This window comes from Homo sapiens, chromosome 2, assembly GCF_000001405.40.
Source record: "Homo sapiens chromosome 2, GRCh38.p14 Primary Assembly".
In the NCBI taxonomy this organism is placed as follows: Eukaryota; Metazoa; Chordata; class Mammalia; order Primates; family Hominidae; genus Homo; species Homo sapiens.
In genome coordinates this window covers 177,819,687-177,845,601 of record NC_000002.12, presented here as the reverse complement: position 1 = coordinate 177,845,601, position 25,915 = coordinate 177,819,687, and the positions used below count along the sequence as shown (strand labels likewise).

The 25,915-nt window shown below is 40.7% G+C and overlaps 1 protein-coding gene and 1 long non-coding RNA gene across 6 annotated transcripts in view, besides 3 other annotated features; one reads left to right on the top strand and one right to left on the bottom strand.

Annotated features, from left to right (window-relative positions):
• The window catches only part of PDE11A (phosphodiesterase 11A), a 485,096-nt gene that overhangs the window by 262,738 nt on the left and 196,443 nt on the right, over window positions 1–25,915 (top strand). For all 4 annotated transcript variants that reach the window (NM_001077197.2, NM_016953.4, NM_001077358.2 and 1 more), the window contains 2 exons: window positions 5,219–5,351; window positions 25,307–25,382. In NM_001077197.2, coding sequence (NP_001070665.1) covers window positions 5,219–5,351; window positions 25,307–25,382 — 209 coding nt within the window. The remainder of the gene's footprint in view (window positions 1–5,218; window positions 5,352–25,306; window positions 25,383–25,915) is intronic.
• Window positions 335–1,069: an enhancer, noted in NCBI's record as "NANOG-H3K27ac hESC enhancer chr2:178709260-178709994 (GRCh37/hg19 assembly coordinates)". NCBI's record gives its function as "activates a minimal SCP1, AML or CMV promoter by ChIP-STARR-seq in naive H9 embryonic stem cells {active_cell/tissue: H9 hESC(naive)}" and the evidence as "EXISTENCE:reporter gene assay evidence [ECO:0000049][PMID:30033119]".
• Window positions 3,860–9,022, bottom strand: LOC124906099 (uncharacterized). 2 transcript variants are annotated; one of them, XR_007087315.1, is made up of 3 exons: window positions 8,475–9,022; window positions 5,203–5,397; window positions 3,860–4,382 (listed from the first exon to the last, which is right to left on the bottom strand). It is a non-coding gene; the product is annotated as an uncharacterized LOC124906099 (long non-coding RNA). The 2 variants fall into 2 exon arrangements; XR_007087316.1 differs by lacking the exon at window positions 3,860–4,382 and adding an exon at window positions 6,732–6,819 and having other exon boundaries at window positions 5,317–5,397; window positions 8,475–8,658.
• Window positions 10,091–10,260: an enhancer, noted in NCBI's record as "experimental_56479 CRE fragment used in MPRA reporter constructs". NCBI's record gives its function as "activates a minimal promoter by MPRAs in K562 erythroleukemia cells, with activity observed for both the introgressed and non-introgressed 2:178700154 variant alleles {active_cell/tissue: K562}" and the evidence as "EXISTENCE:reporter gene assay evidence [ECO:0000049][PMID:34662402]".
• Window positions 14,111–14,655: an enhancer, noted in NCBI's record as "OCT4-NANOG hESC enhancer chr2:178695674-178696218 (GRCh37/hg19 assembly coordinates)". NCBI's record gives its function as "activates a minimal SCP1, AML or CMV promoter by ChIP-STARR-seq in naive H9 embryonic stem cells {active_cell/tissue: H9 hESC(naive)}" and the evidence as "EXISTENCE:reporter gene assay evidence [ECO:0000049][PMID:30033119]".

Here is a 25,915-nt window from a genome sequence, read left to right as displayed (position 1 = left end):
CTGCCCAGCCACCCATCGTCTGAGATGTGAGGAGCCCCTCTGCCTGGCTGCCCAGTCTGGAAAGTGAGGAGCGTCTCCGCCCGGCCGCCATCCCATCTAGGAAGTGAGGAGCACCTCTTCCCGGCCGCCATCACATCTAGGAAGTGAGGAGCGTCTCTGCCCGGCCGCCCATCGTCTGAGATGTGGGGAGCGCCTCTGCCCCGCTGCCCCGTCTGGGATGTGAGGAGCGCCTCTGCCCGGCCGAGACCCCATCTGGGAGGTGAGGAGCGACTCTGCCCGGCCGCCCCGTCTGAGAAGTGAGGAGACCCTCTGCCTGGCAACCGCCCCGTCTGAGAAGTGAGGAGCCCCTCCGCCCGGCAGCCACCCCATCTGGGAAGTGAGGAGCGTCTCCGCCCGGCAGCCACCCCGTCCGGGAGGGAGGTGGGGGGGGTCAGCCCCCCGCCCGGCCAGCCGCCCCGTCCGGGAGGTGAGGAGCGCCTCTGCCCGGCTGCCCCTACTGGGAAGTGAGGAGCCCCTCTGCCCGGCCACCACCCCGTCTGGGAGGTGTGCCCAACAGCTCATTGAGAACGGGCCAGGATGACAATGGCGGCTTTGTGGAATAGAAAGGCGGGAAAGGTGGGGAAAAGATTGAGAAATCGGATGGTTGCCGTGTCTGTGTAGAAAGAAGTAGACATGGGAGACTTTTCATTTTGTTCTGTACTAAGAAAACTTCTTCTGCCTTGGGATCCTGTTGATCTGTGACCTTGCCCCCAACCCTGTGCTCTCTGAAACATGTGCTGTGTCCACTCAGGGTTAAATGGATTAAGGGCGGTGCAAGATGTGCTTTGTTAAACAGATGCTTGAAGGCAGCATGCTCGTTAAGAGTCATCACCACTCCCTAATCTCAAGTACCCAGGGACACAAATACTGCGGAAGGCCGCAGGGTCCTCTGCCTAGGAAAACCAGAGACCTTTGTTCACTTGTTTATCTGCTGACCTTCCCTCCACTATTGTCCTATGACCCAGCCAAATCCCCCTCTGTGAGAAACACCCAAGAATTATCAATAAAAAATAAATAAATTAATTAATTAATTAAAAAAAAAAAAGGAATTCCAAAATTGAGCTGGTGCGTAAGCCAGAATGTGATTACTCTGGTCTGAATGTTTGTGTCTGCCCAAAAATTCATACGTTGAAACCCAGTCCCTAATGTGAGGGTATGAAGGGGTGGGCCTTTAGGAGGTGATTAGGTCATGGGGGTGGAGCTCTTATGAATGGAATCAGTGCCTTTATAAAAGAGGCCCCAGAGAGATCCCTCATTCTTTCTACCATGTGAGGACAAGAAGGCACTAGACACTGAACTAAAGCAAGAAGGCACTAGATACTGAATCTGCCAGTGCCTTGATCTTGGTCTTCCTAGTCTCAAAACTGTGATAAATAAATATTTGTTGTTTATAAGTCACCCAACTTATGGTATTTTGCTCTAGCAGCCTGAATGGACTAAGACAGTGATGTAAATACCAAGTGACAAATCAACTTTCCTATCTGTCTCTCTGAGGATCTGATCACTCAGGCCTTAATTTATGTTCCTGTGCAACATTAAACTGAAGAAATGCAGAGGTGATTTTCAGAAAATCTGTTTGCACTGTTGCACTGACCTATATAGGTCAGTTTGAATCTCACCTCCTCTCTGAAGCCTTAGCTAGATTACAACACCTGAAGTCATTTCTCCCTCCATGGACGTCTTCAGCACTCGTGATTGGTACAGTTGACTTGGTAACTTATCAACACATCTATGTGAAAAATTTTTCATTTGAAATTTGAAGTGGGCATTTAATTTTTATATTGTTTATATGTCAGTGTGTTTATTTCTCATCTCCCCAGTTAAGTAGCAAACTCCCTGAGAGCAGAGATCATAGCTTATACTTTAGAAACGGCCTCAACCCTGCCTTGCACAGAGTCAATATTCCTTCTACACTGTTCACTGATTTTACAATGATTTCAATTCAGTATGCATACTGAACCAAGCCACATTCTAAGCATGTTTTAGATTTAGAGTGAGTTTTTCAGGAGCCCCTGCTCAGTAAGTGTTTTTGTCATCGTATCTTCTTTGGGAATTCTGTAAGTAGGGACCTAAAGCTCTTAATTATCAACTCCAATGGTTTTTCCTCCCTGTTCCTGTGACTAAAGTCTCACAGTGAAGTGTTTATTATCTTTAGCAGCTTCCTTAAACTCTCTCTGATGTGGACTGCCCCTCCCTATTTGTTCTTAGGTGACAACCCACTATTCTTGCTATAACGCTATCCATTAACTCCTTCTGAAAGGCAACAGGAAAAATACTATAATTTAGGATGTTGGGGTCAGATTTAGGTGAAAATTCTATCTCCACTTGGGAAAGTTATTGAGCATCCTAGGTCTCCATTTTCTGATCTATAAAATATAGAGAAGCATATCCATCTCACAGGATTTATCTGAGGACAAAACAAATTAGTTGGGTAAAGTATCTGGCCTGACCCTTGGCCCACAGTAGATGGCAATAAATTTCAGTTTTTCTTCCTTAAAATTTCTTCTCTTTCTCCCTTCCCCCTTTATTACCACTTTTCTCCTCCTTCCCTTCCCTAGATATAGATTTCCCTACGTGTTCTGTCCCTGAGTGATCTCATGCATTTTATTCTCCGTGAAAATTATCCTAACTCTGGATTAGAGTTTTCAGTCCTGAGGACTGATAGGATTTTGTTCCTGGACTTTCAAAAATGAACATGTCCCAGGCTTACAGAATATCTGTCATCTTTCCCCTATCTCCCCACTCCTTAAAACAACTGTGTTCTGCTAATAGGGCCACAGGCAGTCGGGAACAAAATGTAAGCCACTGCTATCTGGCCACAGAGCCTGTGGAATCTTCTGCAGTACCTCTTGAGTCACCAGCACCATCACCTCCCACCTGCATGACTTCTGTGGTTTACAAGACCTCTTCCCATCCTCAGTGTCTCTTACCCAGTTCTTCTTGCTCATTGTACCTGGATTAAGCTTTCTAAAATCACATCTTAAACCACGTCACTTCCCTGCTCCATATTCTTAAACAGTTCTCCATTGCCTATAACTAAGGTCTCAGCAACTTGGTCAAGGCCTCACCTTTGAGCCTTGGCCTCTTTTTCAGTTTTATTCCCACCATACAATTACTCATTGTGCCAAGAACACACTTCGTACTCTGCTGCATTTGTGTCTTTTGTTCCTGCTGTTTCCTTCTAACTCCTCCAATCTCTCCTTGTTGAACTCTTTCTCATCCTGAAAGACCCAGCTTGAAGATTGTTGACACTTATTGGTAAAACTGGCTCCTTCCTTGAGCCCCACCCTACCCAACCGTTTTACTTCTGTGCCCAGACCTCTCCCCAGCTCCTGCTGCAGCGCTGCTTCCCACACTCCACAGAACACTCTAGGTCAGCAGCTTCGAAACGGTGTGATCACAGAACACCTCAAAAATTAAAATGTGGAATAAAGTACACAGTGCAGAATGAACTGGCAAGCCAATTAATCCCTGAAAGGTCAGAATTTAGCCCATACCCTTTTATAAACTTAGAAATGACTTCACTAAGTCATTTAGATCTTTGTGTGAGGTGCATTATCTTGTTTCTCCTAGATTTTGCTTTCATTGCAGCACAACATAAAATTTCATCTCATGAAATGAGATGCATATAAAACAGCAAAAAGAAAATAAAAACTTTTTTGTTCTTTTGTTTTGATTTGTTTTAGAAAATAAAGCTTCTTCTTCTCTTTGAAGTACTCAGTCTTTTTACTTCTTTGATTTAGGTGCCATCTAAGAACTACAAGACTCAGCTTTTTATTAAAACTTCCATTTTTCAGCCAGAGAGCCATAGAGAATAAAGTTTATGTATTATTAATGTTTAATATGCAATAAGGGATGAATAACATTACAAATACATGCTGAATTTATCAGACACAGGCCAGCAATCATTACAGATGAGATATATTAATGATGTTAAATAATGTCTATGTGTCCCACTCACTCATGCATCCAATGGCCTTTCCATGCAGTTTCCTGCCTTCTCAACATGGCATAATTTTACACAGGGACATTATTGCATAATAACAAAGACGATGTGCACATTTAGTGTTTTCTTACATATAGTGCAGTTTAGATTAAAAAGTCAATAGAGTGATGATTATTCTTGCTGTAGTATACTCATTTAACATCTCATGAAATCCAGGGTTCCACATAAGGCAGCTTGAAAACCTTGCCCTAGTATGCTTGCATCCATCCACATAATTTCAGTTATCACTTGCCAAGCGACAAATCAGACATCCTCCAGGAAAATTTTCCTTGCCAATACTAATTTGAACAGTTCTCAATTTTGTATCTCCACGGCTCCTGGCAGTGCTCAATATATACTTGTGGAAGAAAAGATGGAAAGGAGAAGAATGAGGGATATTAACTAATTCTTACAGCATTTCTGTTTATGTAGTGTCTGTCATGAAAATGATACAAGGGAAAGTTCAAAAAATCATTTGGCATAAAATTCCTTGTTCAAATTAAATATGAAAATAGTTTTAATTATTAATGTTAAGGGTCTGTTGCATTAAATAGCCTTTTAAGTGAGATTTTGTAAGTGGTATATGGGCTATTGTTAAGAAACATAATCTAAAATTACCAAAATAGTTAACTAAGATACTAAAAGTTATTAAAATATTAATGTTATCAAAATAATGACTAAGATAGTAAAATTGTTTTTCAAATAATTACTAATTAAAAGACCATAGTCTAGATACATTCTTTTGCTGCATTTGTAATTTTTTAAATTCCCAATTTACTTCCTGATTTTTCCCTACTTGGGTTTCATTCTTCCTTGTGCCAAAACATCTAGTCTGTTCAATTAAAAAGGGCAAGCTGGGAAGTTGATGGAATTTTATTAGTTGTTGGTGTCTTATTGTTAATTTTGGTCCTTACATGTGTTTGCCAGCTTTGGGACCTAAATACAGCCTAGAGTCTCTCTGAATCATAGGGAATCTATGGTTTCTGCCCATGGATTTAATTATTATACATTATAGCAGGTAAGTCATTTCGAAGTAGCTACTGATAATTACCTTGCTATTGTTCTGTGACTAATGTCACTTATTTTTTCTTAATAAGGACAGATTATCCTGATATTAGTGTAGTTTATAGGGTTTCCTTTCAAGAAAACTTACGTTTCTCTCTTTTCTTCCTGCCTACCTTGGTGCTCTGATAGTTTCAAAGAAAGCATGGAGAAATCATCATACTCCGACTGGCTAATAAATAACAGCATTGCTGAGCTGGTTGCTTCAACAGGCCTTCCAGTGAACATCAGTGATGCCTACCAGGATCCGCGCTTTGATGCAGAGGTAAGAGGAGCCCCTCTGGTTGCAATCCTAAGTTTCAGTTGTCGCACTGTTGAAAACAGTTGAAACACAAAAAGGAATACTTACCAGCAATTCTTTTGCATCCTTCCCCTGTGATCTTATTTTTAGCATTGCCTACTGTTGACTCTAAGTTAGAAAAACTTGTCTGACTCTACCATGATTTGTAGCAAGATGGTTATCCTTAGTCTGATGCTCGTTTATGATTGGGTATATTTTATATTAAACTATGAACTATTTAATGAAAAGTGTATATAACAAAGTTATTTCCCAATAGACCCTAAAACAACTACCATATTTATAAAAATTGCTCCCAAGAAACAGTAAATTGGTTGGCATTATTGTTTAATGTTAATTATCTAGGCACACTGTGTTGATATACAGAATATATTAAAACAATTTTGAAGTTTACATTCTAAGGTAGTGTAGAGTATCATACAGATAAATTCACATGAACTGATAATGTCTCTATGTACATATGTGTACTCTCTATATATATACTCATATATACATATTGAATATACACATTCATTAAATACAAGGTTTCCTATTGAAGATTGTCCAGCTGAAGTCTGAAGAGTAGGAGGCATTTTTTTGGTGAGGAAGGGTAAGGAGATGTGTGTTCCAGGCAAAGCTGAGCAGGCATGGGGAGTTGGGGAAGTGAGATGATCTAATGTGGCTGAAGGGCCATGATCCATGAAACTGGAGAGGGAAGCAGGGACCAGATCACCAAAAAACTTTGAAAGGCATGTTAAGAAATTGGAGTATTTGTTCTGTGCAATGGGGAACCATTGAGTTTTAAATGGGGGAGAAGCAAGAGTTATATTTTAGAATGATCACACTGGCTACAAAGCAGGGGATAGGTTAGTAATGATAACAACTGAACAGTTAAACTTCAACCCTGAGAAGTAGATGTCATCATTCCCATTTTACAGAAATTGAGAGCTGCTCTATGGCTCTGGAGGCAGACAAAAATTCAGTCCTACTACCTCTCAAACTCCACAGCCCATAATCTTAATCCTGCCCTGTGCTGTCTCCATTGTCTGTGGCCAGGACATGGTGATGGCAGGGAGGCTGGGGTCAAAGTCTAATTTACAACTTCAGTCAGATCATCTTTGCAGATCTCTGCAGGAAAACCTTATATTCCCAAACTTACCACCTCCCTGTAGCTGCCTAGAACTCTCTTCCCCAGGCTACATTTTCCATGTATTTTCTATTCCTTCTTGAGGTTAGAGGCTCCTAAATCCTTAAATGAAGTCCTAGTCTGCGTTGGGTGCCTTTCCAGCTGCTCCCTTGGCTATCCTAACACTGACTACCCTCTAGTTCTCCTCAGTTTTTATACACTAAATTTGAAATTTGACTTACCTTTCCTTGGGAAAGTTCACAGTTCAAAGTTCTTCAGTTCTCCTCTGGTAAGGTAGAACACTACTAACTTGGTTATATGACTGGAGCACTGAAAATGATTTACAGATGTCAACATTTATATACTTTTCCATTGTGGTTGAGTTAGGACTGATTTTATATCAGAGAAGTTAGTCTCTTCTCCCCTGTAGGCCATCGAACTCCAAACGGTCATGCAACCAGAACCACAGACGATGGCTCCCTTTTACTGGGGACACTTAGCTAGGCCTCTGGGGGAGATCTGACTGCCATCTTCCCAAAATAGTGCCCCCTGTCAGCAGGAAGCAGTTAAGATCCGTCTTTGCCCCTATTCTAATGGCAGTTAGAATTACCTCTTTGGAGAAGGAACGATAGACTAAATACTAAAAAGTATTACAGCTTTTGTCTTTCTTTTAAAAAAATATTTCATTTAAGTGCTTATTTTCCTTCAAACCAATTAATTAGAGCTCTTTTCTTTATAAACATAACACACATAACACATATATGATTATGTAGACAGACAGAAGAAAATCTAGTAGTTGTAAGATTTTTCATTTGCCAATCTAATTGGATTATTGGCCTCTGGGTGGAGCCCTTTAAGAGCAAGGCTAGGAAAGCTTGTATTTTCTAGGGCCTAACAAACAGGTATGGCTGGAAGACAAAAACAGATTTTGAGAGGGATCTACCTGCCTCTAATTTCTGAGGTTCCATGAGGAAAACAGGTTTCTCACAAAATGGGATCTGTGGTGCCTTTTCTGTTTTTGCCAAGGAGTCACAGGCCATCAGAAATTATTTTAGGGCCTCTCATGTGTGCCTTAAGAGTGGCAAGACAAAATGGAGAAAAATAATTCAATCAACTGAGAAGAAACCTTTTTCCAGAAAAACAAGATTCAAGAAGGGAAAAAAACCATAAAGGTCCTTTAAACATACTTGGGTATCTGCTTTTAATTAAGCTGAGCACTCCTTAAGAAAGTCCTTTTAAATCCCGTATTACCTGACTTTAGCCATGTCAAGCAGCCAATATTTCTGGCTTTTGAACTTTACCAAAAGTAACCTCACAGGTGAAACCAACAAGCCTCAATTAAGGTTATGACTTTACTACCAGTGTACGAAGTATTTTCAAAGCAGGAGGTAAGCAGTTTTTACAACATCTAGAATCTTTAAGGGTAGCTCAGAGAAGGGAAGATTTAAGAAGAGAATCTAGAAGTTGTTCATGGAAGGGAAGAAAATCAGCAAATGGTAGAAGTCACACAGCTATTAACTTGAAAGTACTCATTCTCCGTAAACCCGGGAAGCAGAGCTTGCAGTGAGCTGAGATCGCGCCACTGCACTCCAGCCTGGGCGACAGAGCGAGACTCCATCTCAAAAAAAAAAAAAAAGAAAGAAAGAAAGTACCCATTCTCCAAGCCAGGATTGAACCTGAGCCACCATTGTAAAATGTCAGACTAAAACAAAGCACTCCCACGTAGTTACAGGTCATGCTCCCCAGGATGTAAACAAGATGCAAGCCTGCAGCAAAGTTTGTTACTGACCAGTTTGCTGGGCTGACTTGAAAAGTGGACTTATGGGGTCCTACACCCACATCCTGTCCTAAAGTACCTCTCTTTCTGATAGAACCATACAGAAAGACATGCAAAGCATACCAGATTGGCTACAGCTTAAGACCAAACTCATAAATCCTTTTTCATTAATCAAAACTTTACAGAGAATATAAACAGTGATCCTTACCATTCCTTTTACCGGTTTGCACACGGAGGGAGAGGCCAAAAGTCCAACTGGTAAAAGAAACTTTTACCCTTTTGCTGGCACGTCAGGTTTCTGGATTCCCTTCCCCTTGTATCTGGAATTGGTGGGTTCTTGGTCTCATTGACTTCAAGAATGAAGCTGTGGACCCTTGTGGTGAGTGTTACAGTTCTTAAAGATGGTGTGTCCGGAGTTTGTTCCTTCTGATGTTCGGATGTGTTTGGAGTTTCTTCCTTCTGGTGGGTTCATGGTCTCGCTGGCTTCAGGAGTGAAGCTGCAGACCTTCGTGGTGAGTGTTACAGCTCTTCAGGTGGCGCGTCTGGAGTTGTTTGTTCCTCCCGTCCGGAGTTGTTCATTCCTCCAGGTGAGTTCGTGGTCTCACTGGCCTCAGGAGTGAAGATGCAGACCTTCGCTGTGAGTGTTACAGCTCATAAAGGCAGTGCAGACCCAAAGAGTGAGCAGCAGCAAGATTTATTGCAAAGAGCAAAAGAACAAAGCTTCCACACTGGGGTAGGGAACCCAAGCGGGTTGCCACTGTTGGCTCCGGCAGCCTGCTTTTATTCCCTTATCTGGCCCCACCCACATCCTGCTGATTGGTCCATTTTACAGAGAGCTGATTGGTCTGTTTTACAGGGAGCTGATTGGTGCATTTACAATCCCCAAGATAGACACAAAAGTTCTCCAAGTCCGCATCAGATTAGCTAGACACAGCAATGATTGGTGCATTTACAAACCTTGAGCTAGACACAGGGTGCTGATTGGTGTGTTTACAAACCTTGAGCTAGATACAGAGTGCTGATTGGTGTATTTACAATCCTTTAGCTAGACATAAAGGTTCTCCAAGTCCCCACTAGATTAGCTAGACCCAGAGCACTGATTGGTGCATTTACAAACCTTGAGCTAGACACAGAGTGCTGATTGGTGTATTTACAATCCTTTAGCTAGACATAAAGGTTCTCCAAGTCCCCACCAGACTCAGGAGCCCAGCTGGCTTCACCTAGTGGATCCCGCACTGGGGCCACAGGTAGAGCTGCCCATCAGTCCTGCACTGTGTGCCCACACTCATCAGCTGTTGGGTGGTCGATAGGACCGGGTGCTGCAGAGCAGGGGGCAGCGCTCGTCGGGGAGGCTCGGGCAGCACAGGAGCCCACGGCAGTGGGGAGGCTCAGGCATGGCAGGCTGCAGGTCCCGAGCTCTGCCCAGCAGGGAGGCAGCTGAGGCCCAGCGAGAATTTGAGCGCAGCGCCAGTGGGCCGGCACTGCTGGGGGACCCAGCACACCCTCTGCAGCTGCTGGCCCGGGTGCTAAGTCCCTCACTGCCCAGGGCCGGCGGCACCAGCTGGCCGCTCCGAATGCAGGGCCCGCGGAGCCCACGCCCACCCAGAACTTGTGGTGGGCTGCCAGTGCCATGCGCAGCCCCAGTTCCCGCTTGCACCTCTCCCTCCACACCTCCCCACAAGCAGAGGGAGCTGGCTTCAGCCTTGGCCAGCCCAGAGAGGGGCTCCCACAGTGCAGCAGCAGGCTGAAGAGCTCCTATAGTGTGGCCAGAGTGGGCGCCAAGGCCAAGGAGGTGCCAAGAGCAAGCGAGGGCTGCCAGCACGCTGTCACCTCTCACCCTCAGCTCAGTTCTAGACCAAGCAGTTTAAGGTCTGGGAAATTAACTTTTCCCAGTTTGGAGGATGCATCCGAGGGGAGTATCCTGTAGTAGGGGGACACAATTACCCCTCTGTGAAGAGAGGACAGAGGAGGAAAAAGGAAAAAGAAGGCATTTTCTCTAAGGAGCCCCCCTGCCTCAGGATGCATTTGAGAGAGGTACAGACTAAAGATGAATGGTTACCCAGCTAGGAAGACAGGATAAGGTGTCCCTAATTCCTTTGTCTTCCCAGCAAATATGGGGTACATGAGGCAGAGAAAGAAGAGGTGTTTCTTTTCTTTCTTCTGTCCTTGTATCTTCAAGTCCTGGCAACCTTGACAGGGTGCTATCGATAGGTGTCAGTGCAGCTTCCACTCACGTTAACACAGGGGCCTAGAGGGTGGGAATATCGTACTCACCCACATACACCCTGTCTCCACTGTTGTCATAACCTTTGCGTTCCTTAGACCTTGACAGACTGCAGCCAGCAGCTGGCTGCTGCCTCCTTATCATAAGCTGAATGCTAAGGTAAAGCTGAGGAGCTGGGTTCTCCTCCAACAAGGGAGAGAAAAAGGGTGTCTTGTGAATTTGGGTCCTGGCCTAACAAGATGCCTTCCAAAATGAAAAAAAAAACTCTTGCATAGAAAAGCTCCCTATATCTGCAAGGCTGCATTAACTGCCTACAGGGTGGAGAAAAGGAAGAAAAAAAAGCTTAGGTGCAAGCCTGGGAAGATTCCTGGGGGAGAAACCTCTTATTCTTATGCAATGGGTTTCTTCATCAGGGAGAGAAACCTTTCATTGCTGTCTCCTTCCTGGGACTCCCACTGAGCTGGACCCCTTGGCCAGGGGAAGGGAAGACTGCGTGGGTGCCTGGTGGGGAACACTGGCCAGCTAGCCACCCCAGGCCCAGGCTGTGTGCCCCAGACAGGAGGGGAGTGGGGCAGGGAGCCACTGCTCACCTGTCTGTCCTGTGCACATGCCTGCAACCATTGGGGTGAGGGTGAAACACCCCTAATATTGTAAAAGAAAAGATAGGTGCCAATACATTCCCCCAAAAATGAAGGAAAATCCATGGAAAAGACTGGGTTTGACTGAGGCCGACATTTCCAATGCCTGAGAATGATGGGGTGGGGAAGGGGGCAGTTTCCTCTGCCTTCAGAAAAAGTCTGAGGACAAGAAAGCTCAGAAACAAAAGTGAGAGAGATGTTTGGGTCTGCATTTTACTCACCCTTCTGACAAGTCCCCGTAGAGGCCACCAAAATGATGCAGGATTTTTTTGCTCCTTAGGTCAGCTAATCTGGGTTCTTGTCTCATGACCAGGAAGAATTAGGCAGGCAGACACATTGAAGGGTGAGGAGGGTGGAATGTATTAAGTGAAAAGAAACCTCTCAGCAAAGAGAGGGGGTCCTGCAAGCAGGTTTCCACCTCCCAAATTGAATACCAGGGCCACTACACACCAGCTGAAGAGGCCAGGCTCCTCCTCTGCATTAGGCCCGAATTTCTGGTGGCTCCACACCATTCCCCCAGTGCATGTGGGCCTCTAGTCTGCCGTGGGCATGCCCAGGTAAGCCCCCTGTGCAGGTTCCCTTATCTGCACAAAACATCTGGTGTAACACTTGTGGGGCAGGTTGGAAATTCTCCAGAGATCCTTCTCTATCTGTCTACGCCTTTGTCTGCCTCCTGCCTCTATCACTAATATCTATTCTAAATTTCTCAATAGCTCAGTGGCTAATTCTGGCAATGAATTCTTTTTACTGACCCCAATTCATCAGAAACTGGGATAGAATGCCCCAAAATGGATTGGCCCTATTCTGGGATTTCATACTATGGATACATCAACTTTCAGTAAATAGAAATATTGGATATTTTTTAGCTTACAGGGGAGGAAATGGAGACTTGGGGAGCTGGTGGTCTGCCAAGACCACACAGCTTTCTTAAGGCAGATCACAGAAAACACTCTGGGCCTTCTGGTTCCTGATTCAGTGCTCTTTCCTTTAGCATCCTCTTGGGGAGAGCATCAGCTGCTGAGGGTCTGCCTAGGCAACAGAGTCACCACATTCTTCCTTTCTCCTTCCTCACAGGTACATGAACTCATGGCCAGCATACCTACTTTTTTGTCCTATCTGCTGTGCTCAAGAGCTGAGGAGTCTTGGACATATCACTTAGTTTGCAACATGTAAAGTCCTACATAAATATCTTATAAACTGTGCAGATATAGTCACCAGGTCCTCCCTTATAGGACCCAGCAGTATGATAAGAGTGGCCAGACATCCAGGCACCAGGTTTCCTAGGCACATTGGAGATGATTAAATGTGGGGGCTGGCTGTGTTAGTGGTGGCAAATCCATGTGGGTCTGCAGCAACCTCAATTCTTGCCTCCTCAGAAGAAAGAATTTGACTGAGGGGCGTTAGGCAGAAGAAGAGACTGTGGCAAGTTTTAGAGCAGGATTGAAAGTTTTTTTAAAAAAAGCTTTAGAGCAGGAATGAAAGGAAGTAAAGTACACTTGGAGGAGGGCCAAGCAGGTGACTTGAGAAATCAAGTGCGCTGTTTGATCTTTGACTTGGAATTTTATGCATTGACATACTTCCAGGATCTTTCATTCCTTCTCCCTGGCTCTTCCCTTGGAGTGTGCTGTCTGCATGCATAGTGGCCTGCTAGCGCTTGGAAGGGGAGCACACATAGTGTGTTTACTGGAGTTGTCTGCATGCTTACTGGAGGCATTCTTCCCATACCAGCGGAATGTTTCTCGAAGGTCATATACCAGTTAAACTCTTCCATTTTGTCTCTTAATGCACATGCTTGAGTCTGCTTGCCCAACTCCCAAGATCTTATCAGGAAGCGACTTCTATTAGTCACCTAGAAGGACAGAACTAATAGGAGATAGATAGATAGATAGATAGATAGATAGATAGATAGATAGATAGATGGATGTGAGTATTAAGGAGTATTAACTCATATGATCACAAGGTCCTACAATAGGCTGGAAGCTGAGGAGCAAGGAAGCCAGTCCGAATCCCAAAGCTGAGGAACTTGGAGACCGATGTTCGAGGGCAGGAAGCATCCAGCACAAGAGAAAGACGTAGGCTGAAAGGCTAAGCCAATCTGACTTGTTCACATTTTTATGCCTGCTTTATATTCTATCTGTGCTGGCAGCTGATTTGATGTTGCCTACCCAGATTAAGGGTGGGTCTGCCTTTCCCAGACCACGGACTCAAATGTTAATCTCCTTTGGTAACACCCTTACAGACACACCTAGGATCAATACTTTGCATCCTGGAATCCAATCAAGTTAACACTCAGTATTAACCATCACACTACTGATCACTAGTTTCAGGGTTTTTCTATCTATCAGGAGACTGCCTTTTGTTGGCACTGGCTGTGGCCAATTATTATTTTAGAGAGACAGTTTAACAACCACCTGACCATCACCTGATGGTCACCTGACATTCGTGGAGGGGTCAGGGGGGGCCTCTCCTGCCGTGCTCCTTCCTGACTAGATACCTACTGTAATACCTGTACTGCCCAAGCCTATGCAACCCACCAATCCTTGAAACATATAGCTAAAGCCGCACCAATCCTTAAGACATAGCTAAAGCCAGTTGCACTTGTATATTTCAAACATAGCCCTGATGACTACATTTACAATCCCTGCATCAGTTAAAGTAATAGATAAACTTCAAAATTTCTGTGGTTTAATATAATAGAGGCTTAGTTTTTGTTCATATTAAGCCCAAATGGGTTTTCCTGATCAGTGTTGGTGGGATAGGGAGGTGTTCCCTATTATGTGAATGAAATATTTCAGCAGCAACTTATGAATGACTTGCCCCATGGACCATATTGTGAATTCTTCAGATTGATAACTGCTGGTGCTGATCCCAATACACCCACTTGTGTGCATTTGATAGCTTCTTGTTCAATTCAGACTAGCATAGGAAGCTTGCCAATTTGGGAATTCATGACACCAGTGGGTATTTTCTGTTAGTAAGAGATAATTTACTCTATCAAGCTTTGCTTTAGGCATACAGTTAAGGTATGAAGGGAAACTAGATTTCTAATTTCTGTGTCTTTCCTATCTTGATAAAATTCAGGGAAGTCCTTAGAAACTCTGCCCAAGATATGCAGCAAGAGAATGATCCTTATTTTGAAATCTCAGTTTTGAAACTGTTGGTCTTCCTTTTGATAGGAGCTACAAAGGGATGTCTTTAATGTGATGTAAACCCCATCCCAAGTGCTGTCAGATGCCTGCTGAGAGGGCTATGGGGCAAGTAATCATAGTTGTTTGCCTGCTGGGTGTTCTCTTAGTGATTGTCTTAAATATTTAATGGAGTTCCCTCCTTGTGGTGAACAGAGCAGACTTAGCAGGTGAGCCATAGTGATTATTTGCCTTCTGAATGCCTGTTTGAGTTGGCTCTCAAAAGTGGCACCTGCTGGGCTTGATAGCATACATGGTTTTAAGGCCAGACTCTTTGGCTTATGGGTGGAAAAATTATGACAAAAGATTATATGTCACAGAGCTAGAACTACATTTGTGAGCTTTAAATTCTGCGACCTTATGAAAATCACTGTTTATTCTGTTACAAGATTCTATGAAAAGAATGTAAGACAGAAAAGACCTACTCAATATAATATTATATTTATTTATAGTAGTACAAGAAACCCTCATGTTTATGGGTCATCTGTTCTTAGGTTTTGTAGCTTTATCAGTCATCTGCTCCATGGGAACAGGGTATCCATGTGTGTTTCTGAAGACATTGTCAGGGTTATTATGTATATTAATTTTCTATTGCAGCAAAACAGATCACCACAAACTCAGCACTTAAAACAACACCTGATTATTATTATTATTATTATTATTATTATTATTATTATTATTATTATTTGAGATGGAGTCTTTCTCTGTCTCCCAGGCTGGAGTGCAGTGGCTCATTCTCGGCTCACTGCAACCTCCGCCTCCTGGGTTCAAGCAATTCTCCTGCCTCAGCCTCCCGAGTAACTGGGATTACAGGTGCACACCACCATGGCTGGCTAATTTTTCGTATTTTTAGCAGAGACAGGGTTTCACCATGTTGGCCAGGCTGGTCTTGAACTCCTGACCTCAAGTGATCCACCCACCTTGGCCTCCCAAAGTGCTAGGATTACAGGCGTGAGCTACCGCGCCCAGCCAAAACAACACTGATTATTATCTCACAGTTTCTGTGGGTCAGAAGTCTGGGCATGGCATTGCTGGGTTCTCTGCTCAGGGTCTCACAAGGCTGAAATTAAGATATTGGCCGTGTGGAATTCTCATTTGGATCTTGGCGTTCTTTTTAAAGATCATTCAGATTGTTGGGAGAATTGAGTTCCTTGCAGTTGTAGATTGAGGCTCTCATTTTTCTGCCGGCCATGGCCCAGGGTCTGTCTTAGCTCCCAGAGATTGCCCTTGAGTCCTAGAATGTGGCCCTCTCATCACATGGCAGCTTACTTCTTCAAAGCCAATGGGAGAATCTCACTCCAGTTGGCTGTGACAGAAGCTTACCTCATGTCCGGAGTGGCTTATATAATCTCAGGAGTGATTATCCCATCGTCTTTGCCATGTAACGTAACATCACCAGGGAAGTGACCGTGCTAACATATTCACAGGCCCTGTCCACACTCAAGGGAAAGGATTATTCAAGATATGTAGGAAGCCAGAGTTGGGGGTGGTGGCAGGTGGGATTCTTAGAGGCCATCTTAGAATTTTGCTTATTATAGGCTGGGCACAGTGGCTCATGCCTGTAATCCCAGCACTTTAGGAGGCCGAGGCAGGCGGATCACAAGGTCAGGAGATCGAGACCTTCCTGGCTAACGTGGTGAAACCCTGTCTCTACTAAAAATACAAAAAAAAAAAAAAATTAGCCAGGAGTGGTGGCACACGCCTGTAGTCCCAACTACTCAGGAGGCTGAGGCAGGAGAATTGCTTGAACTCAGGAGGCGGAGGTTGCAGTGAGCCGAGATCATGCCACTGCATTCCAGCCTGGCTATAGCATGAGACCCCATCTTAAAAAAAAAAGAATTTTGCCTATCATACCCTAATAAAGACTAAAATATAGTCCATGCACAATGTCTACCCCATGAAGCAATCTATATATCCTGATATTTTAAAATGTCTACAAGAAAAAAGTAAACAGAGAAGTATGTTTAAAATAATGTATAGAAGTATGTATAGAATAATATATGTGGGTATATACATAAACAGTATATGCATATTTTTAATAGGTATTTTAAACTTAACATGTCTAAAGCACAGGCCACAGTCTCCTGCCCCCCAAGCCTGCTCCTCTCTCTGTTTCCATATCTCTATTGAGGCAACACAATCCTTCAGGATGCTTATGTCAAAAAAAGTATAGGCATGATTCTCCCTTTCTCTGATGTTGAACATGAATTCATCAGGAAGTCCAATTGCTTAATTTATCCAGAATCTGACCACTTCTTACCACTCAGCTGCTACCACCGAGATCCAGCCTACTATCATCCCTGTACTATTTCATGTACAAATCCTCTTAAACTGTCCCTCTCCTTCCACTTTGCCCCTCTATACTCTTTTCTCAACACAATAGTCAGAGGCTATTAAATTTTAAGTTATGTTACAACTCTGCTCACACACTCTTCAGTGTCTCCTTATTTCACTGCAGTAAAAGCCAAATTTGCAATTCTTTCAGAGATCTACAATGCCATACACCATCTGGCACCCTATCATCCACCCCCATCCCTTACTCATACTATGCAAGCCACACTAGTCTCCTTGTTCCTATAATGTGCCACTTACACGCCCACCTCAGGGGCTTTGCACTGGCTACTCCCTCAGCTGAAATACTCTTCCCCCAATATCTGCATGGCTCATATCCTCTCCTCTTTAAGACCATTGTCCAAATGTTACCTGACAGTAAGGCCTGATACCCTTGGTACTCCTTACCCCTCTTATCTGTTTTTTCCCTATCATCTTAACATCTTCTAACATATAATTTATTCATTTATCTTTGTATTGTTTACCATCTCTCTTCTATCACTAAAATGTAAGCTCTATGAAGGTGAGGATTTTGTTGTTGTTTTTCACTGCTGTATCCCCAACACCTAGAACCATGTTTAGTAAATAATAGACATTCTTGTTGAATATTGTTCAATATTGTCAAATATATTATCTATGTGTAATTTATGAATATGCTTTATGTCATTAAATATATTATATATTGACATGAACTTAATACATATTTATAAGAAAAGGTGAGGAAGGACTTGTACCAACTTGTTAATAATTGCTATCTCTAAAGATGGAAAGGTTAGAGCTTTTGATTTTATTTGTGCTTTAAATTTTTCATGTGTTCATATTATTTTTATAATCATGAAAAATTTTAAAGATATTCTAAAATCTTAGACTATATCTTATATGAAATTATGTTTTACCAGGTTATTTTGAGTCTTCTTAAAGTTATAAACAATTATCTAAAACCATTATTGAAATAATATAATATCTAAACAAGTCAACTTGCCTTGCTGTATCTTTGGGGAATTCAGATGGATTATTTTCTATTCGCCTTTGCCTCTGTTTCTTGGGATTTATTCCAACTAGGAGCATTGTCTGAGATTGCCCCAATAGCATGTACATAAACTGCATTTGCAGATGACCGCCTCTTGTATTAGGTGACTTCTTAGAATGCATACTCTATTTACAAATATCCTCACCATTACAATCATTCTGTCCTTGCTTTCAACTGGCATTGTGCCTCGGAATTCAATTTTCTGTAGTTAGTTGCACTTTAGTATATCATCTGTGACACTTTCTGCCCTTCTCTTCTTATTAGATTCAAAGAATGCATTAAAATAAATACACTAATGCAAAACAAGCCATTATTTAGTCAGTCTAAGGTATTATATTCCATTGTTTAATTCAGTATTTCCTTCCATTTGTGTAGTTATGGAGAGAATTTTCAGAGCCATCACATGCAGTATTTGCTTTTTGCCTACAATAAGAATGAACACTTGGACTCAACATTTAAATAGAAAAGGTTCATTCAGCAAAGGGAATGTCAGAAATTAACTAAAAAGTAGGGCAGGCCTTATGCATGGATGGATTTGGTGGTCCATTTATTTGTTACAAATTCAGGAGACGTGGGAAATCCATCAGTACCTAGATCTTCTCTGCCATGGAAGGCCAATGCCCAGAGTTACACAATTAACACTAAGGTGGTGTGATCTGAACTCTGTAGCTCTTCAGTCCCATGCAATTCTTCCATGTAAAGTTTTTCCTCTGATTTTTTTAAAGCCTATTATAGACAACTCAATATTACTTATCCTCGTCATGTAGCACTTAAGGATAATGGGGCTCCAGGCTCTGAGATTCTCTGATTTAGAGCATTAAAGCCCATTTTGCCTGCCAGATCTTTGTGGTGGAGCACTCCCGCACCCCCACAGTGGCTGCTGAGAGCTAGCCTGGCAGGACAGGTCATTCTCTATTCTCTGTAACACCTTCTGGTCTATCAGTTATGCTTCTGTTGCAAAGGGAAATGTGCAAAATTGGAAACATTAAGAGACAAAGCTCTGTGGATCAGCTGAAATTCATTTGCTCTTGTCAATCTTCTCTCAGTTTCTGTTACTTAGTGTGAACCAGTTTGAGAACCTTTCCTGAGAAGAAGGGTAGATTGGACAGTGAACGTAAGAATTACAGTTGAGCAGAAGGGAAAGGAAGGTTAGAGGTTAGAAGTTAGGGGGATTACTAAGACTTAAATAAAATATAGAATGGGGAAGCAGTGGGTAGTGAAAACAAATACAAGTCCCACAGTTCTAAGAATCCAACAGACTTTGCTGCATGGGCAGTGGAGAAAATGCCTCAGCTCCAAGCACAATCATTTATTTTTCAGGAATTTAAGGAATCATATACAGGCACTATTCTACAAACCATTAGGATTTATCCTATGTGCAGGTAAGATAGGCCAAACTCAGTTCTCTCTCTATTATTTCATGGAAATCAAGGGACTGACTGGGAACATTGGCTCCCTCAGCTTGTCTGGTTACTAGAATTTCTCACCACTAGATTATCTTTGGGGAGAAAGTGTTGCTTTAGATTATTGTTAAAGTTGTACGTATCTTTCTAGAGAAAGGAAATACACTGAACATTAATAAATAGTATTATATTATCACCAATTTATTTAACATTTCCTTTGACCACCTTTGAGAGGCTAGAAAATATAACAAGTACATGTTGATGGCTCCAAGAGCTAAACCATCTTTAATTAGATCCATTAATTGGAAAGGCCCCATGAGGACAGAAACTAGTTAACATTTTTAAGTAGACATATCTTTGCTTGGAAAGAACTAAGCACTCGCAGAAATATATTTAGTTTAACTGTTGCCTTCTAGAAAGGCTGCTTTGTCTCATGTTGTCTAACTTTTGAGACTCTAATGGTGTAAATGTTAAACCAAGAATGACCAAGGCACCATGTGGAACAATAAAGCAGATTTTTTTGGCAGTTGTTCCTTTCAATATTAGCAATATTTGTATTTGTAAAACTCCTTACAAATTTTGAAACCCTTTCACACACAAATTTTCATAAAACAACTTGGAAAACAAGAAAAAGCACAAAGATGAGAATCAGCTGTGAGGCCAAAATATGAAGATAACCAATGTTACCATTTTGGTGTGCAGGAGATAAATATTAATGATAAAATTGAGGCATTGAAACTTTGGGTGACTTCGTTGGGGTGGTGTGGCTGATGGGCATTTTTGAGCTCCATTGACTGATTTGATATGGAGAGTTGGGGTTATCTGGTGAACAGGAATGATTCTTTCCTTCATACTTGCTTATTACTCTTTCTCCCTGTTTGGAATTTATTCGTTAGACATCCTGTGCTTCTTTCATCTCCCTTCTCCTTTTCCTCCAGCCCCTGCAGAGGATAAAATGGACTCCTGGGCCTTGCCTTTTCATATGGTTACATGAACTAACCTGGATTAGCACAGTTTTCCAGAAAAAATAGCTGCTGCCGCAAATAGGCAATTAGGGGATTTCATTAATGATTTTAAAATGGAAAAATTCACTCTCCTCACACTCTGCCATCCTTCCTTGTTCTCCTCTCCCACCTGATTGGGCTCATCAAGCATGTTGATCATCACCATTCCTTAGCCTCACCTCCTTCCCTCAAACACAGTGGAAACACTTTAAAGACACCCTCTGCATTCTCTGATGCTTCACCTCTTCTCCTGTGCTCAGCTCATACAAGACTCCAGCTCTGAATAGTTGCAGCTCTGCTTTCTCATTATGGCCTTCCTCTCTTCCAGGACTAACCACTTGACTTTTATTCCTGATCACATCCTTTCTTCCCTTGACCATTTTTGCCTTCAATGATCCCACTATGTTGCTAAATTCAGTAAGCCATTTTCAGTCCTTATCTTATTAGACTTCTCTATAGCATTGGACACTGCTGCTCCCCCTAAGTTCTACTTAGAAAATAACTTCTTCCCTTATGGACAAATTATCTGTGTTTATTATCTAAAATTTACAAACTAGGAGCAATAATTTTAAAATTCTAATAGCCAAGAAATTCAAAGGAAACTATTATGGTCATAATTTTTCTAGGATCCTTCAATGTATATAATATGCTTTTGTATACCCATAGGCATGTACACTATTATCATTTAATATATTAAATATTTTCCATATGAGTAACTATTCTTCTATAGCATGATTTTAATTAGATGCATAATATTCTGTTATGTGAATGTGCTATGATTTACTTAACCAACTGCCTTCAGTTGAATATTCATGTTATTCTAATAAATCACTAAGATAAATAATGCTGTGGTTCACACTTTTACATGTAAAGCTTTGTGCATAGCTTTGATAATTACCACAGGATAAATTCCTAGATATGAAATTGATAGGTCAAAGAGTATGTATTTATACTTTTTAGGCTCTGGATACACATCAATAAACCTATTTCCGGAAAGGTTGTAGAAATCTGTTCACACACATTATGGATGCAGTAAAGCCTTCAGGTTAAGAGCATGAGCTTTGGAGTTCTTGTCCATCCCTGTCACTGATGTCACCTTTTTCTTCCAGCACTAAATATTGTGTTCCCCAAAGTTCAGTTTTTAGTCTTTTTGTTGGACAAGTTCTCTCTTGCAATAACTATGCAATTAACTTAAATCTTACCCATGCAATTAACCCAGAGGACTGGTGACTCCAAGATTGGTATCTCCAGCCCCTCTCACTTGTAATGTGTGTCCATTTGGAGTTCGTATCATTTCCCTCAAATTTCCTGTGTTCCCCACTTCAAGAACTCTTCCACCTTTACTCAAGCCAGAAACCTCAATGTTATCCTCCATGGGGATGGGAGAGTGCATACTCCCACTTTCCCAGAAGAAAAAAAAAAACTCTTTTGGGGAACTGTAGTACTTTAAAAGTGATGGGTAAACAAAATTCTCTTTTATTTAACTGGCGAACAGCCTAAGGTTTGTTTTTCTCACCACCAGCTTCTAAATTGTCTTTCTTACTGCATGTTCCTTTTCTTCTTGCCCATTGTGACCTGTCCTTCAGCTGCCCAGATTTCGTAGGAAACGTTAGACAGGAGCTACTGTTGTCCCAGAGTTGGCAGAGACAATTGTGTTTACTACTTGGTGCTGCCTCAAACCCAATGGTCTGTACAATGATATGTGTCGCTCCCACAGCAAAACAAAGCAGACCCAGCCATCCTAGTGCTGCTGTGGCTAGCCTAAGTCTGTAGATTATACCTTTCTAAAATTGGCTTTCTTCTCTTCATGCTTACTGGTATTGCCTTAATTCAGATTTTATCCTTAGGGAGGGGAAGAAAACCAGTTTGTTTTTTTGGAAGATAACTTTGATGGATGTGTTTGCCATTGGCTGTGCTCCTTTGAGCCAGTCTCTCTCATTCAAGGCAGTTAATCTCCCTAAGTCTCATCTGATAAGAGAGGATGATAACAGTACCTACTTCATGGGGTGGTTGTAAAAAGTATAAAATAATGCATAAGAAAGTGCTGAGCGGAATGCCAGACAGAGAGTGAACATCTAGCAAATGTGAGCTTATCATCATCACTGTTGTCTTTGAAGACTCATTGTAAAGGGTCTTGGGCTGCTCCTGATTTCTCTAAACAGAGTGAATTGTTGTCTTTCCAATAGTGTTTGAACATCCTCTACTTGGACACTTATTTTATCTCAATATTTCTATCTTTCCTAGACTGTGAGTAGCTCAAGGGTAATGACTATTTGAATCCATTTTTCTATCCTCAATACTAAGCAATGTGTCTGGTGCATAGAAGGTGGTAAATAAATATTTTTTGGAAGAGTACACTGGACGAATGATTTATGCTTACGTTTTTGTTTTTGCATCTGGAATTCTCAAATATCAATCAATCTAATTCACTCTATTAACAAAATAAAAAAGGAAAAATCACATAATCTAAAATTACATGACTAAAAGGTATAAGAATTAAAGGATAAGATGACGTGATCATGTGGCAAGAAAATCCAAAACACTTTACAGGTAAGACATTAAAGTTAATAATTGAATGTAGCAAGATTGATGGAAACAAATTTAATATTAAAAAGTCGATTGTATTTTTATGTACCAATTACAAGCATTAGAAAATAAAATACTACTGTTATTTACAATAACATGAAGTTTTTAAACATCAGGATACAAATAAAACAAATTATGTGTAAGAACACTACATGGAAAACTACCAAACTTTGCTAAGAGAAATTTTAAGAGCCTTAAATAAATTAAGGGATATTTATGGATTGAAAGACTCAGTTTTGTAAAGGTGTCAATTCTCCCCCAAACAGATAGATTCAAAAAATACCGATAAAAATCCCAGGAATGTATATGTATGTGTATAAACTGCAAATTGATTCTAAAATTTATATGTAAATGCCAGAGGTCAAAAATAGTCAAGACAATCTTGAAGAAGGAAAAAGTTGGAGGATTTGCACTACCAGATACTGAGCCTTATCATACAACTGTATTATTTAAGACAGTGTGGTATTGGCATAAGGATAGATACCTAGATCAATGGAATAGAATAGAGAGTCCAGAAACAGATCCAAATATATATGGACAGTTGATTAATGAAAATGATGGCACAGTAGAGTGATGGGGAGAGGTATTGCTTTTTCCCTCAAAACAGTGCTGGATCAACTGAATATCCATTTCAAAAAAAAAAGAAATTTTGACTCCTAGCTCATATTATACATGAAAATCATTTTCAGTTGGATTATAAATTTAAATGTGAAAGTTAAAACAGTAAGGATTCTAGGAAAAGCACAGAAGAATATCTTCATGAGGTTGGAATACAGAAAGATCTCTTGAACAAAACCAAAAAAATACTGACCATAAATTTAAAAATTGAAATATTTGCCTATATCATATTAGGGACCTCTGAATCAAAAGACACCATTAAAAGAGTGGAAAAACAAGCCATGGAATAAGAAAAATATTTGTAATACATATATCTTGCAGAGGGCTCTTATCCAGAATATAGAAGATACTTTTACGAGCCAATTTTTAAAAATCAGACAACCCAACAGGACAAAAGACCAAAGTTCTGAACAGGCACTTCATGGAAGAGAGTAGAAATAGATGATAAGTATATGAAAAGTTGCTCAACTTCATTAATCATAAGTAGGAAAATTATAAATTTATTGTCCAAATTTAGACACTTTTGAGAATGAAAGGCATATTATTAATAATTATGTCAGGAAAACAGACTTAAACCAGGATTTATGGTCACCCTAGTCATCAGAGATAATCAAATTACTTTCACAAGGAGATATAACCACATATCTATCAGAATTGTCAAAATTTTTTTTTAAAAGCCTGACAACATCAAATGTTGGTGATGATATAAATCAACTGGAACTCTCATACACTTCTGGTTAGAAGGTAAATTGGTACAAGTACTTTGCAAAAACTTTAAAATATATATTTTGAAGCTGAACAGGTGAATAACTCAGCAATTTTATTATAAGTATATGCCTATCAGAAATGCATATATGCACTAAGTATGTACAAGAATTTAGGGGTTTGGAGGTGGCTTCTGGGGCAGTGATAATATTCTATGTCTTGATCTTGGTGGTAGTTGCATAGATCTGTTCATTTTGTAAAAATCCATTAAGCTGTATACTTACAATTTTGGGGCCTTTCTACATGCATGTTAATCTTCAAAAAACATTGAAAAAGAGAAACTAACATATTGGTACAATGAATAGAAGATATCTGGAAAATTAACTTCTCAAAGAGAAATGTCAAAAAGAAAAAATCCAGTATAAAATTTAGGTATGTAAATTAACTTTTAGTTTCAAGTGTTTAAAATATGTGGCTCTTGCCTTCAACAAAGAATATTTTAAAATATCTTTTTATCTCCATATCCATGATCCAAAACCTTCATATCTTATTGTTTTCTCCTATTGTATTAGAACAATAGATTGACCTCACTGAAAATCAAGGTCATATTAACTCCCTAAGACCCTTTCACTCTTAGTGGTTTCTCTCTAACCATTCAAATATGGACCACTGTTTTTAATATTAAATGGAGTTTGTTACTCAATGTTTGATGTTGATAATTATACCTCTGTATTTTAAATGTCACCTCCTGACATATTTGGGGTACAGAAGGAAAATATTCAAACCTCTACCTCTATCTTACCTTTTTTGTATCTAGATTTGACAACATACATAATAATATAGTAACAGTAAAAATATAGAGTATTAAAAGTAAATGTAAATATGACAGCATTATAGGCACAAACATGTTTTACTAACAAGTGCACCCAGTCAAAGATAAAAATTGATCACTGGTTTAATTAAAATGCTTTAAATACCCAGAGGAGAAACAGTTGCTGGAATTCTTGTCTAGTGGTGTGGTCATGATCAAGATAGTTTTATGTCCAGCTCTCTATGGCTGCAGGGATTGAAGGAGGTCATGTTGGTTTTGGATTTATTTGGTTGATTCATATTTGGCTTGGGTTTGATTCCTTTAGGATGTTCATTGTGATGAAGGAGGCAGGTGAGTGAGTTTATGCATTACAAAATTAGGTTACAGTGTATAAAATAGCTTTAAAAAGTTATTTTTGAATATCTGTTATGAAAAATGGAAAAAATGTAAATCAAAAATGAATAGTTAATATTCAATTTTAATTAACTTCTTTCTTGTTTCCTAGGCAGACCAGATATCTGGTTTTCACATAAGATCTGTTCTTTGTGTCCCTATTTGGAATAGCAACCACCAAATAATTGGTAAGAGATGACCTAAATAGTTAAACTTCTTGAATAAAGAAACAGAAGTTTGCTTTAAAATATTCCCATATCTTTTTTATGTGTTCCCTCTTTTTATGGCCAGGACTCATCAAACTATGTCTCACACTCTCGTATAATTTCATAAGCACAGGCTCCTAATGAATCAACATTATCCACAACTTGAACAAATATGTATTAAATTGAAAGAACCAATAAATTTTAAAGTCGTAGAGAATCTGAGTTATCAACCAATAGAACTCTTTTATCTCACCCTGTGGAAATAGAGGCAGAGAGTGAAAAAAAAAGCCAGAGAGAGACAGAGACAGAGAGAGAGAGAGAGAGAGAGAGAGAAAGAGAGAAAGAGAGAAAGAGAAATGACTTCAAGAAGGCCACAAAGTTAATAGCAAGGTCAGGAACAAAATTCAGGCTTCCTAACTCCTAGTGCAGACTTTCTTACTATGTCAATGTGTTTACATCTGTGCTTTTTATACATGGTGTAAAGGCAAAGGAAGAAATAACATTCTATATTGGAC